Source organism: Homo sapiens, chromosome 17 (genome assembly GCF_000001405.40).
Source record: "Homo sapiens chromosome 17, GRCh38.p14 Primary Assembly".
Lineage (NCBI taxonomy): Eukaryota > Metazoa > Chordata > Mammalia > Primates > Hominidae > Homo > Homo sapiens.
This window is the reverse complement of record NC_000017.11, coordinates 21,363,113-21,376,917: the sequence shown is the minus strand read 5'-3', so window position 1 is coordinate 21,376,917 and position 13,805 is coordinate 21,363,113. Positions and strand designations below refer to the sequence as shown.

At 57.5% G+C, this 13,805-nt stretch overlaps 1 protein-coding gene across 1 annotated transcript in view, besides 5 other annotated features; it reads right to left on the bottom strand.

Annotated features, from left to right (window-relative positions):
- Nucleotides 1–561, bottom strand: part of KCNJ12 (potassium inwardly rectifying channel subfamily J member 12) — a 43,514-nt gene extending 42,953 nt beyond the window's left edge. Inside the window, exon 1 of the mRNA NM_021012.5 lies at nt 5–561. The gene's annotated coding sequence lies outside the window, so the exon portion shown is untranslated. The remainder of the gene's footprint in view (nt 1–4) is intronic.
- Nucleotides 2,838–3,573: an enhancer, noted in NCBI's record as "H3K4me1 hESC enhancer chr17:21276657-21277392 (GRCh37/hg19 assembly coordinates)". NCBI's record gives its function as "activates a minimal SCP1, AML or CMV promoter by ChIP-STARR-seq in naive H9 embryonic stem cells {active_cell/tissue: H9 hESC(naive)}" and the evidence as "EXISTENCE:reporter gene assay evidence [ECO:0000049][PMID:30033119]".
- Nucleotides 3,574–4,309: an enhancer, noted in NCBI's record as "H3K4me1 hESC enhancer chr17:21275921-21276656 (GRCh37/hg19 assembly coordinates)". NCBI's record gives its function as "activates a minimal SCP1, AML or CMV promoter by ChIP-STARR-seq in naive and primed H9 embryonic stem cells {active_cell/tissue: H9 hESC(naive and primed)}" and the evidence as "EXISTENCE:reporter gene assay evidence [ECO:0000049][PMID:30033119]".
- Nucleotides 4,310–5,045: an enhancer, noted in NCBI's record as "H3K4me1 hESC enhancer chr17:21275185-21275920 (GRCh37/hg19 assembly coordinates)". NCBI's record gives its function as "activates a minimal SCP1, AML or CMV promoter by ChIP-STARR-seq in naive and primed H9 embryonic stem cells {active_cell/tissue: H9 hESC(naive and primed)}" and the evidence as "EXISTENCE:reporter gene assay evidence [ECO:0000049][PMID:30033119]".
- Nucleotides 5,046–5,782: an enhancer, noted in NCBI's record as "H3K4me1 hESC enhancer chr17:21274448-21275184 (GRCh37/hg19 assembly coordinates)". NCBI's record gives its function as "activates a minimal SCP1, AML or CMV promoter by ChIP-STARR-seq in naive H9 embryonic stem cells {active_cell/tissue: H9 hESC(naive)}" and the evidence as "EXISTENCE:reporter gene assay evidence [ECO:0000049][PMID:30033119]".
- Nucleotides 5,982–6,747: an enhancer, noted in NCBI's record as "H3K4me1 hESC enhancer chr17:21273483-21274248 (GRCh37/hg19 assembly coordinates)". NCBI's record gives its function as "activates a minimal SCP1, AML or CMV promoter by ChIP-STARR-seq in naive H9 embryonic stem cells {active_cell/tissue: H9 hESC(naive)}" and the evidence as "EXISTENCE:reporter gene assay evidence [ECO:0000049][PMID:30033119]".

Genomic DNA, 13,805 nt, shown 5'->3' with positions numbered 1-13,805 from the left:
TTACCTCGGTCAGTGGCCCGGGCGCGGCGCGCTCGGCGTCCTCCAAGCTCCGGGCGGCCGTTCCTGGCCCCGGCAGCTGCCGCGCTGGCTGCATCGCCGCCGCTGCCGCCACCGCCTCAGGGCAGCTCCCGGGGGCGCTCCATGCCGAGGGGCGCGTCTTCTCTGCAAAGCGGATCGCCCTGGTCCAGCCACGGGTCGGGGGCGCGCGCCTGGACGGCGCCCCCGGCCGCTGGGCGCTCGCTTGGGCCGGGGCGGCTGGCGTCGGTCCCTCGGTCCGGCTGTGAGCACGGCCGGCCCACCCCCTCCCCCGCCGGCTGTTATCTGATCTCGGGCAGGGCCCGGCGCGCTCCCCTACGCCCCGGCGCCCCGCACCTCCTCGCAGGCTCTGACCGCGCCAGTCCCCCTCCCCCGGCTACTGTTCCCAGGGAGGCGGCAGCAGTGGCGGTGTGGCCGGGAGAAGACGGGGAGCGAGGAATGGAGGGCGAGGAGGCGGCGGGAGGCAGAGGCTCGGCGCGCACCCAGCTCCGCGCCTCGCTCCACCGGAGCTCAGCTCGGCAACTCCTCTAACTCTCCGCGGAGAGCACGCCCGCCCCGCGCCGCGCCGCGCCGCGCAGCCGCTGCACCAGCCTACCACGGCTCCGGCCTGGCCCCGAGCCCCTCCTAGTCCCGGGCCGCCCCCTACACACACACCGCCAGCCACTTGCGCACTGGGACGCGCGCGCGCACACACACATATATATATACACACACACACACACACACACACACACACACACAGGCACGACTTCCCGGGGACATGCGCGCACACACACATACACACACATGCAGGCACGTCCGCCGGGGACACGCGCGCACGCACAGGTGCATGGCGAGCACACACACAGGCATAAACATGCAGGATACATGCCCCCACATGCATGATGTTCGCAGGGGCACATGTGCACACTCGCTCATATGTGCACATGCAGGATGGCATCTGCACGTGTGCATACGCACACACAGGTCTAAGCTTGTGCATTCCCACAGAGCCCTTTTCCCCTGCACACCAGGCACGCACCCTCTACACACACCATCCCACCCTAATAGCATTTTTCTCCTCTCCATCTTGAGCTGCTTGGCTTCTCCCATCTCCTGCCTTCTCTGTGCTCCTCCCTGGACCTCTCTCTGCCGACCGGATCCCCATGTGACCCCCTTCTCTTTCGAGCCCCTGTCTCTGGAGGCTCAGGCTTTCTTCCCAACCTGTCCCCAAATGCCCTGCCCTCCCAGCTTTCTGAGGCCTATTGTCTGGGCCTCATATCTCTGAGCCTCCCGCAGGGGCCAAGTCTTTCATCCTGGCAGACAGACCTGCTCGCCTGGACACTGACCCAGGGGAACTCCATTTTGTCACCAGTCTGACCCCCAGCTCGGCCCTAGGGCCTCAGAATTGGGCCGAGGAGGCCAGTCTGTGCCCAGAGCATGAGCCTCAAAGGGCTCCTTGGCCCCCTTGGCCTCCAGCTTCCCCTTTAATGTGAAATATAATTATGTGTCTGCACAGCAGGGAGACTGGCTGCAGGATTCTAACCGAGGAGGACGGCTCTCTGGCCCGCACCCAGATTGCTGGCGGCTCAGAGCAGAGTGATCTGCAGGCCCCACCAGCCCTAGGATCCTGGCCCCAGGCAGCTGGTGGGTGAAATCCAGCCCAGCACTCACCGACATCAGTCTGCCCTGGGTTTGAATCCCACCTCAACTGACTAGCTGTGGGACAGGTCACTTCACCACTCAGTGCCTCTGTTTCCCTGTTGTCAGTAGAAATCACTACACTCATGGGGCTGTAGCAAGGATTAAATGAGATGAGTCTACCTAAAGTGCTTAGCACTTGACTTGGCTGGTAAAACAGCCAGGCGGAGCACTCAATATGTTCTGAGCTCTGTGCTATGGACCCAGCTAGAATTATTTCATTACCACTGCGGCCATCTGTGGTGGATAAGCTCATTGGCTCCATTTTACAGATGAAGGAACTGAGGCACAGAGGGGTGGTCACTTGCTTAATTACAGAACTACCAGATGGTGGAGCCAGTACGCAGAATCAGGTGTGTCCTCAACTTAGGGCTGCAGTGGAGAAAGAAGGGGCATCGCAGAAGTCTGCAGCCCCCACCCTGCCCTGCCTGGCACACTGTGTCCTGGTTTCCTCCTCCTCCTGGGAGAAACAGCCTCCCAGGGGACCAAAAGCTCTCAGGAAACTTCCTTCTTCTCCCTCCGAGTGACCAAGGAGGGAAATGACTCAGCTCCCCACCTGCCCCTGCTCCATTTCCCAGATGGGGAAGCCCAAGCCAGCTGCGGAAGAAGCCTCAAACCAGCTCCCACCCTCAGAGACCACTCAGCTGTCCCAAGAGGAATGGGGCCTGAGACATCCCTCCCTCGAGGCCTTACTCTGGTGGCCTAGAAAGGGGCAAGGGAATGGACGGGAACACCTCAGGGCTCCTCTGGGTCTAAGATTCTGACAGCTCCTGGGACAAGTGGCTGTGCCCAGGGCATCCTCACGCCTGGAACACCACCCCCCCCTTCCCACACACACACACACAGGGCCCCTGCCCAGGGGCTCGACACCCAAGATGACTACTGTGAGTCAGGCCAGGTCTCCGCCCCTCCCTATCCCCACTCCCAGAGCCATTATCAGACCCATTTCACAAAGAGGGCAAGCGTCTTGCCCAAGGTCACCCAGCAGAGACGCAAGCCTGACTCCCTGGGCCACTCCCTTGGGCTCCACGTCCCACCCTCCCAACCCACGTGCAGGGTCAGAGTTCAATTCTTAATTGTAATTGCAACCCATGAGCAGCCATTAAGGGCCCCTCAAAGCAAATCCCCTCTGCCACGCCACTGGGCACCAGCCTCCCTCCAGGAGGGGCTGGGACACAAAGAGGCAGGGATGTGGGCAGATCTCTCCCTAAGCAGCTCACACATCTGCCCCAGGGATCCCCACGTGGGCAGAGGGGCTCACGGCCCTCCCGGGGTGCTGCGTGAAGCCTGAGCAGAGGACATCCTGCCCCTACAGTGTGGAGGGGGCAGTGTCGAGAGTGGCTGGGTGAGGCCAAATGGACTGAGCCCAGTACCAACGCTGCCCAGCAGGAGACCTGGGACACGTCCCCTGCTAAGGCCCCACTTCCCTCTCTGTAAAATGGGGGTGATCGTGACAGCCGAGGCCATGAGAGTAGTAACTTTCCTGGCACAGCCATGGGAGAAGCCAGGGAGATGAACAGCAGTCAGCTGTCCCACCACGCACACACCTTCCCAACACCCTGAATTTTGTGCCCTGCACCTGGCTTTCCCTTGATCCCAGATTCTTTCTTCCCCTCCAGGATGGGAGCTTCTCCAAGACAGGGGTGAGACTGAGGCTTGTTTGCAGCCCAGTCTCTCCCAGCTTTGGGTGGGCGTGTTGGCTGTTCAAGACGCCTTTGCATATCTGAGTGTCCCTGGAGCCACAGGCCCAGGAGACAGAAGAGCTCCTCGGCTCATTTGGAATCATGGCTTTGTTTTGAGGAAAGCAAGGCCCAGAGAGGGAAGGTTGCTACGATGACCACTGAGCTGTCCAGGGCAGGTGTCCCGAAGGCTGGTTTCGCTGCCCTGTGTGTAGGAGCCCCAGAGCTGCAGCCTCTCGACAGCAGCTGCCAGCTCTTGTGGTAATCACATCTTGATGCCACAATGCCGATGCGCTTGTGGGAGGCATAAGTCCATCACCGAGTGAGATGTGAAACCAGACGGCCCTTCCCCAGCGGCTTTGCTCGCCCTGCAGGCAGCTGCAACCAGTGCTCCCCAGAGTCCCAGCATCTCCTCCCCTCCAAGATGCCTCCTCCCAAGAGCCCACTGAGACTTCCCCTGCCCACCCTAGACCTTGGCCCGGCTTTGGCCCTCACGTCTTCCCACCATCAAAATGTAAAATGAGCTCTCAGCATGCCCAGTTTAACCTTTCTAGGAGTGATAGCCAAAGTCCCTGAGGCCCCAGACACCCTCCCCCTCTCAGCCACTCTTTTCTGAACACACTGGCCATTCAGGCCCTTGGGCACCAGTAGCCTGATTCTGTCACTGGACCTTGGGGCCTGCCTCCCCCTCAGTCAGGAACGCTGTCTCTCTGAACTGCCTCACGTGCAAGGGTAGCTGTGACGGCACATCCGTGAGGGGCCTGCCGACCACCAGGACGCACCTGCTGTGCTCAGCTTGCTTTCTTCCCTAGCTGGCCACTCTCTGAGGTGTCTGGCTCACTGTGGTCCCCCCACCAGCATGGCACCTCCATGAGGGCAGAAGCATGTCCTTCAGGCGTGTCTGCAGCCCAGGACCTCACATGCTGAGGGCATGCAGTGAGTGCAAAACGAGTGCTCACAGACCCGACTCAGGAACGTCTCATCCATGAGGGATTCTCTCACCCTGCTCTGCGCAGCTTGGCTCTCACAGCCACTCCCAACTCCACCTGCACCATCACCGAGCCGCGCTGGCCCCTGCAATCACAGGCTGTCTGTCAGCACAAGCCTTGCCCCCTCCTCCAGGCAGGCGGCCAGGGTCTGGGTCTCACCTGGCCTCCCACCCCCACCCACCATAAGGCCAGCAGGAGGACCTGTGCTGGTCGGTTCCAGGATATGCTCTTCTGGTGGGGTTGCTTTCCACCTGAGCCAGATCCACACCCTGGCTGGACAAGGTGGAAAGAGGCTCTGTCCCTCAGGCAGTGAGCCACAGAGCAGAGACCAGTTCTAGCAGCCCTGCCCTCAGCCCAGTCTCTTCCCTAAACACCTTTTGTCACTAGACACTTTGATGATACTAACAACAGCAAAAGTGACAAGGGCCAATGCCCACCACGCACTTGCCATGCATTAGGCTCCAGGCTAAATGCCAACCTGCGCCACAGGCCACAGGCAGATGGACGGAGAAATGACGCCCAGGTGGGTAGAAGCACTTGCCCAAGAGGACGTGGCTGCCCCCAGGAGCATTGTGGGGACATGGCCCAGACCCAGGACACAGTCACACCCACACGCGCACGTGCATGCACACACGCCCCTCCCCCTGCCCAGGTGCCCTTGGGCCCCTGGCTGACCCTGCAGCATTGATCTGAGGCACACAGAACTTCAGGAACGGTTGGCGGCCCTGGAAACAGGACACTGAGTCCCTCCTGCCCCATCAGGAGGCAGGCATTGATCAGCTGGGCCTGGAGCTGACCGGTTGACTTATTTCCCGTGTGCAGGCTCCGGCACTCCCGTGGCCCCGCCCTCTGCGGGAGGAGCAGCTGGGAGGAGGATGCACTAACTGTGGCCAGGAGGGCAGCCACCAGGGCCAAGGTTGAGGCCAGGACGTTTAGCCATGCTCCATCTGGCATCTCCTGGGCAGACCTAGGTGTCAGGGTTTCTGTCTGGCTGAGAGACTTAGAGGCATGCTGGACACTGGTCCAAGTCCTCCCATGTCCAAGCTGCTCTTCTGAGAGCCTTGTTCTTGGGGTCTCCCTACTCCTATACCATACCCTCCACCATATGTTTCCTGTGGGCCTGGGGCACCCCCAGGGCCCAGGGGTGGGTGAGCGACCCAGGTCTGGCTGTGAGCATCACAGCAATGGTACAGAGATGGACACATGATTGAAGCCAGCCAATGAGAATCAGCCCTAGGACTTTTGCTGGGTCTGCAGGAAAGCAGGAGCTGTATTTCCCAGGGCTTTGGGGCTGGCCAGGGGCCCCGGGGACACCTTTGCCCCCAGGTAGGGTGAGCCTGCATGAAATGAGACCCACCCAGAGAAAGCAAAGCTGAGATATTGAGAGAAACAAGGTTCTGGGCTGGTCTTTTGAGCCCCTTAGATCCACCCATGGGCTTTTTATTGTAAGCCAAAACCACCCCTTTGTTAATTTAGGAAATTTCTAACAGCCTCAAGGGGCTGCCGGGAAGGCAATAGACGTAAAAAGACCAGCAAGTCCTCCAAAATGCCCCTCAAGCTTTCTGAAGCTCTCTCTCCTTCTCTAAAAAGGGGCGCATGAGAACCCTGCCAGAACCATGTGGGGACCACACTCTATGGTATGTGAGGGGAGCGTTTCATCCCTCCCTGCCTCTAAAGGGACAGAGCTTCCAGGAAGGCGGGCAAAGCCTGCAGGCCCCAGGAATAAAGGGCAATAAAGAGAGGGAGGGAAGTGGCTGCAGCATCTCTCAGAGTTAAAAATAGCTTCCCCAAGGAGGCCTCCCCGCCGGGATAATCCAGCCAATTATCAGCCCCTCTCTACCCTGGTGGGCACTGCCTGCCTCCTCCCTGTCCCCACGTGGGGCCATCACTCCACAGATAGGGCCTCTGCCCCAGCACCAGCCCCATGACCCTCCTTCCTCATGGGGGCAGGGCTCCAGTCCTTGGCCCGGGGCCCCTCTGAGTTGGGCCTGACTGAAATAGAAAGGTCGATCTGCCAGTTCTGACAGCAGTGTGAACTGTCCAAAACACACTGTCCCCCCAACACACACAGAGAAAAAAAGAATCAAAAGGCAGCGTGGGGCCTGTTGCACGACTCTGTTTATGTTAAGAAAAACGACAGATATATTTGCATTAGCAAAGAGAAAAATCTGGAAGTTTGGAGGCAAATTGTTGGTGGTTGTGTCCTCCTGGGACCTTTTCCTCATTCACTGTGGCACGGAGGAAAGTGTCTAAACCTGTTTCCCCAGGGCTCTGGGCTCGGACCCACCTGGTGGGATCCCAGGCCACCCATTGCAGGCGGGAGACGTGGGCAAGCACTCAGCCCAGCCTCACTGGGCCCTGAGGAAGGAGAGTCGCTTGCACTCTGGGTACGTGGGCACATTGTACGCTTTCAGGGCTGTTTGTTTGCATTTTGTATAGCAAGCATTTATTGTTTCAGCAATTTTTTTTTAAGTCAAGTTATTTGTAAATGGAATAAAGCCTGATGACCGGGCATTGGGGCCGGGAAAGGCTTCCGAGAGCTGGGAAGGCTAGAAGCCAGCCTCGAGGACCTGCCCCACAGCAAAGCCCCTGGCTCTGGGGTCTCTCGAGGCCTCCATTTCCCCACTGTCCCCTACCCTTGTGGTCAGGCTGAACTCAGAGAGCCTGAGCCCCTTCTAGCTGCACCCCCGGTGTGTCTGGTCTAGGCTTCCCGAGAAGTTTGCTGTTCTGTGCCTGGAACTGAGCAGACCCCGGGAGTGACCCTCTCGGGGCCTCTGTCTGTGAAACAGGCTTGCACTTCTGAGGGCTCAAGCCAGTCCTGTGCCCTGGACCTCAGTGTGCCAGGGTCTGGTCTTCCAAGCGGGTGGCGCCGGGGGCCCAGTGTGGGCTGGGGATGAGCCAGGGCCAAACTGGAGCAACCACCCAGGTCACCTTGGTCCTAGGAGGCCAGAGTCACAGGAGCAGGGTTCAAAGGCTTGTCAGGCCAGGGCAGCTTCCATGGGTGTCTGGCAGCTGGCCTCTGGCCCTCTGGGGCAGGGCTAGAGGGCTGGCTTGGCCTGGCCACCTGGGGTTCATTCTCAGGAACCAGCTGGGGCCAGAACTGCTCTTTATAGGAGAACCCACAGTCTAAGCAGCTCTCAGGGACAAGGACCAGGAAGGAAGGACTGCTCTTTATAGGAGAACCCACAGTCTAAGCAGCTCTCAGGGACAAGGACCAGGAAGGAAGGAGATGATTCATAGGACCCAAGCGTTTGCCTTCTCCCTCAAAGCCTCAGTCTCCTCAGCTGTAGGATGGGCGTGATGTCCCGCTGAGAGGCTCCTGCTTCACACCCAGTGCTATTTACAGTGCCCAGCGCCAGGTAGGCACTCAGATTATCCACTGGAGGAGTGAATCAGTGATGCAACCCTCCCAGGAAATGACACATGGGAGGCGACCCAGCACAGGGCTGGCGCACACTGGGTGCTCCGTGGAGAGGCCTCCTCCCAGCCTCCCCGGATGCCCCACCCTCCCAAGCCAGCCACTCGCCTCCCCTGGGCACCCACAGCCTCCTGGGCTTCCCCACCACAGCTCCCTGGGGACGCTCTTCCTCTCCGCTTCTGCTCCTTCCTCACAATGGGGGCTCCTCAAGGGCAGAGGGAGGCTCTTCCCAGCCACATGCCACCTCTGGCCCCTGCACCTTCTTTTCCACCCATGCCAGCACCATCTTCAGCCTCCGTACCAGCCTGGGGGAACCTCCCTGCCCACAACCTAAACCCTGACGTTTCAACCGCAATCTGGGAACAGCTGGTCAAGCTAAGAAGAGTCATCGCCTTTTTTTTAATCCTAGGAGTTCCACATCTAGGAATTTATCCCACGACACCTGGGGACTCATCTTTGAAACAGCAGCCACCTGCCCAGCATCCCCAAGAAGGCAACCATGACAGGGCACATGGGTGCATGGGAGCAGCCCCCAGCTGTGAAGGAGCCATGCCTAGGCTCCATGGGCCAGGGCAGCTGCCTCTGGCCTCGAGAAAGCAGCACCCAGCCCTTGGTAGGTGCTCAAGAAATATTTGTTGAGTGACTCTAATAGGAAAAGTGCTCTAAGACAAAGTAAAAGGCGCAGTACAGAAGAGAGAGTATAGTTCACTGAATGCTTAAAAGGTGGCATATGTATACACACACGCACGCGCACACACACACACACGTGTGTGTTGGTAGAATATTCTGGAAAGAGATGCCAGAAACTGGCCACCAGGAGGGCAACTGGGAGGTTAGAGGGAGGACGAGGGGCCAAGCTGTTCTCTGTAGGGCCACTGTATCTCTAGACCATCTTCAAGGATTTCATGTCCCCTCAAATTAATTAAAAAGCTGAGAGAAGAGGGAGGCTCCCCCTCCTGTGGGAGGCTGGACCGGACATCCCACCCTTCACACCTGTCCTGAACTCCTTTCTCGCAGGGTTCCTTCCCACTCCCAACTCCCCTTGGAGCTGCTGAGCAGGCCCAACCCCATCCTGTCTGTGGTGATTAATAAACACGCCATGATGGCCTGAATCTTGCAGAAGCTCCAGGGAGCCGGGTGCCTCTCCTGGGACAGCCTAGCCCTGTGTCCCTAGACCAGGAGGACTTGCTGCTGGTATGAGGGACACGTGCAAGGCTCCTCAGCAGGTCCCTAGGACCCACCTCCACACTCTTGCCCGTGCTGTCCCCTGGGTCCCGAGTGCCCATGCTACTCCCGTCTTGGCCCATTCAAATCCTCACCCTGGGTTTGGTGCAGGTCCGTGCTAAGGAATTCAGTCCCAGGGCTGGAGCAAGCCCTCTCCCAGGCTGGCCCATCCACAGTACAGGGGCAATTAGTATCTACTCCATTTAAAATCCATTAACCTACCTAGAAATGGGGATGATAAATATAGAACCCATTGTAAATCTGCAGAGCCCAGCTCAGCCCCAGGGAATGTCCCTCTGTGAACACAGAAATTGAGCAATGACCCTTTAAATGGGTCAAACATCCATTAAACCCCACTTGTGGGCCAGGCATTCTAAGGGGAACAGCACAGCCTCTGGAGTCAGACCAGCTTGGGTTCAAACCCTGACACCATCGCTCACGAGCTGTGTCACTTTGGGCAAGTCACTTAGCCTCTCTGTGCCTCAGCTTCTTCCTCTGCAAAATGAGGACCACAACAGTGGCTGCCTTGCAGGGCTGGGTGAAGGTTGCATGAGGGATGCCCTCAGCCCAGTGTCCGGTGGCTGTTGCTCATCGCTGTCATTTACTGTGTGTGGCGCTGCTGAGGCTGCTGCTGCCACTGTTCCCGGCAGAAAGCTCTAGAGCTGGGGAACACCAGGACGGAATCAGGGGTCCGTGCGTGGGAACGGGGAAGAAGTGTGGGTCAGCATCCAGCTGAAATGTGGCCTTTTCTTCCACTGTGGACTGAGATGGCAAACCCCAGCAGCATCAGCACACCTGAGGCTGTCACCAGCAGAGGCCACAGATATGTCCGCATCCCACTCTGGACTGGCAGACGCCTCCAGAGGTCTTTCACATTTGTCTCTGGGTCAAAGTTACAGGTGGGCTTAAACCTGCCATGCAATCCTATCATCAGCGCATCCGTAAGGGAAGGGAGCACACAGTTCACCCTATCGCAATCGTGCTATTTAACCATTCTAATAACTGGCTTCCTTTGGAATCTTGGGTGTTGTTGGATGCATTAAGACTCGGATTCTGCAGAGGGGTCAGGAAAGGGCCAGACCCCTCAGAAGGATGGCAGCAGGCGGCGCTGGCCACTGACCCTCTGCTCGCTCCAGCCAGTCCTGACCCTGTCACCATGGGCAGTGGGGCTTCCTCTCTCACAGCCTTGCACATCCTTCTGCACAAACTCCAGCATCTCTACCACCCTTCTAGGAGGTCAGACCAAGAAGAGGATGTCTGAGCCCTAAGCCGGGAGCCAAGTCATGGTTGGGGGTACCTCTGTCCACCTCATGTCCTTGGGAGGCCTCATGCTTTCACCACCAGAACCTCGATTTCCAAGTCTACCTTAAGAGCCCTCCCACCCCCGGCTGCAGGGGTCACTCCCTGCCCAGCCTCCTGGCTGGGTCTTGGAAGCCCTTGGCCACCCCAAAATCTCCTCCAAGCCCACCATCTCCAGCCCCCTGGAGCTGGTGTTCAGAAGTTGAGGAAGGCAAGAAGTGAAAACAAGAGCTGGGGTGGGGCCAGCCCCTCCCAGCCAGGCTCCCCAGGCCTAAGTAGAGGGAGGCAAGAGGGTAAAGAGGGTAGGGGTTGTCCACAGCAAGGGGGTCTCGAATGCCGGAGGTGGGGGGCATGGAGAAAGCAACTCCTCCTCCCATCCCCAAATTTGGCAGCTCAGCTGAATGCAGGTTCCAACACCCCCTGCCTCTTAGGGAGGCCCCCAAATCTTAGGTGTTTCAGCTCATCCCTGGGACCAGCATGCTCCATTCTCCAGGCAGCCTTTCCACCCAGATCCCCATTCCCCCAATTAGAGCACTTTTTGTCAATTTACAAATGAGGGAAACCAAGGCACGGAGCCATTAAGTCCAAGGTCACATAACTGTGAAGTGGCCAGCTACAGAGAAGATGCCCAGAGTGCCTCACTGCATTCCCTGCTGGAGGAAAGCACTGCAGGGTCCAAGTTCCCCGGCTCTCTCGTGTCTAAAAGGCCCAGCAGCACAGCCAGAATGGGAACACAGAGTCCTGGGGAGGAGAGAACAGCAAGAACAGAGAGACAGTGGCAGGAGCCAGGGAGCTGTGCTCAGTGGAACCAAGGCCTCTTGGAGGCCAAAGCTCAGCCTCTTTTCAGCACTGGTGCAGAAGAAAGAAAAATCGTCCTACAATCCCAGCAGGTCAGAGTGAGACACACTGCAGAAGAGGCCTGGCCCACGTGTGCTCCTGGGCTTCTAATGCCAACTCTTGTCTAGATCTGGCGGAGGCAGCCATCAGCTCCCTGAAGCCTCCACAGGGGAATCCAGGGGTGGATGGAAGTGGGGAGGCAGGGCTGAGTCCCCAAAGCACCCAGGAGAGGGGCTGCTATTTCCTTGCACATGGCAGCCTTGGGGAGCCAGTTAAAACTGGATCCCACAAAACGAGGAAGGTAGTGAGCACTCCATCACAGGAGGTGTACAAGTAGCCAGGACCCTCTGTCCCTGAGCAGCAGCCTTGGGTGTCTGGGTGGGGTGCTCTGGTCAGCTTGTCCTGTGTGGGCTGGGGTAGGGCGTTGGACAGCAGAGATCAGGCCCATCTAGGCGGGGCCACGAGGTCAGTCCCAGAGTTGGGCGCCATTGTCCTGGGATCTCTCCTGGGCCTTCGGCCGAGCCAGGGCTTAGACAGAAAATGGGTGCAGTGAGGGAAGCAAGATGGGGAATTTGGGGCTTTGTGTCAGCACATAGCTCCCACTGGGAGAGGCAGGCTCCCCCTCCCCCAGGCCCCCATTCCTAGGCAGGGCCCTTGCAGCCTCCCCAGTCATAGCCCCCACCCCCAGCATTGTCTGGGGAGGGCATTGGCAGCTTGAGAAAAGATTTCTATCGTTTTGCTTTTGAAACAATTTCAGTTTCCACCTGGTTGTGCCATGCAAACCCTAGGGATTCCTGCCTAGAGAAAAACTTGGATCAACAAACTGTTTCCAAATGGAAAGACAAAGTTTCAAAAGGCAGCCTGGACAGTGGCACAAGCTGGGCGGAGCCTCTGAGTGCAGCCCCTTCCTGGCTCATGCCTCTGTGTCCATCCTAGTCTCCTTGCATTTTGGAGCCTGAAGCTCAAGTCTGGGTGCTCAGGGCCCAAACGGGCCCTATCTTGTCTGCCTGGGCCGTATGTGCTCCTGGGCACCTAATGCCAGCCTTTGTCTAGATCTGATTGAGGCAGCCACCAGCTCCCTGAAGCCTCCACAGGGGGAAACCAGGGATGGATGGAAGTGGGAAGGCAGGGCTGAGTCCCCAAAGCACCCAGGAGAGGGGCTGCTGCTTGCTTGCACATGACACCCTTGGGGAGCCAGTTAAAACCCTCTGCGCTAACCCTCCCATGACCCCAGCTCAGCCGCAGTCTCCAGGCTGCCATTACCTTGAGATCTTATCTCCTGTCCGTCTTCCTCTCATACCTCCTTGTTATTCCTGAACACATCAAGTCCTGCCTACCCCAGGGCCTTTGCACTTGCTGCTCCCTCGCCTTTGCACTTGCTGCTCCCTCTGCCAAATACTCTGCCCCCAGATCTCTGCATGGCTCACTCTTCCACCACCCTCAGGTCTCTGTTCAAATGTCTCTTCTCAGGGAGATGCCTTTTCTGGAAATCTTATTTAAAATTTGCCCTCCCCACCCTCTCATCCTTTCCCCAGCACCTACCCTGTGGCTAGCACTTTCCATCCACTATCTCACCATGCGGCCCCAGCTTCCTGTGAGCCAGTTCAGATTAGGTCACCAGTTTTACCTGCAGGCCCCAGGCTGAGGCAGCAAGGCCTGCATCTGCAGGGCTGGCCTCTGCGCCACTGCCCTTGTCTGGAGCACAGGCCCTGGGAACCATGGGGCCAGCTGGAAAGGGCTCCCCTCGTCTCTGGTGAATCATGCCAGCTGCCCTCCTGCCCACATTGTCTTCCCTGTGGATGGTGCCACCAGCTGCCAGTGTAGTATGAAGGACTGTGGGCGCGTGGCTCCCCCATCTCATTCCTCTGGGGCCAAATGTAGCTGTAAACATTATATTGAAGCCCAGAGATCTTCCCAGAGGCCTCCTCCCCAAAAGGCAAGCCAGTGGGTGCTTCACAGATGCCCACACAGGGTGCCTGTCCTCAGGATATGCCTATCTATGTGGGGGAGACCCCATACTGAACAGCAAGACAGCTAAGGGCTAAGCTCACCTGAGTACAAATCTAGCCTCAACCTCTCATAAGCTATGAAACCTTGTTAAGCCATTCCATCACATTAAGACTCAGTTTTTCCATCTGTAAAATGAGAAAAGAAATATCTCCCTCAAAATGTTGTAATGAGAATTTTAAATGAGATTGATTACATAAAGCACAGACAAGGACCACAGAAAGTACTCAATAAATGATTTATTAGTATTATTATCATAATAATCCTAACCATCTGTACACCCATCCAATCATTGATTGATCCTTCCATCCATTCTTTCACCCATACACACATCCACTCATCTAGCAACACATTTGTCCATCCATCCGCTCATCCAATCATTCATTCACTCATTCATCCATCTGCACATCCATCTATCTACTTATCCATTCATTCATCCAATCATCCATCCATCCACCCATCTATTTATTCATCCATTCATCCAACCATCTGTCCACCCATCCATCTATCCATCCACTCATCCTTTCATCTATCCATCCATTGAACCACTCCTCCATCTGTTCACTCATCTATCAACCCATTCACTCATCCGTCCATCTGTCCACTCATCCATCCATCCACTCGTCCATTCATCCA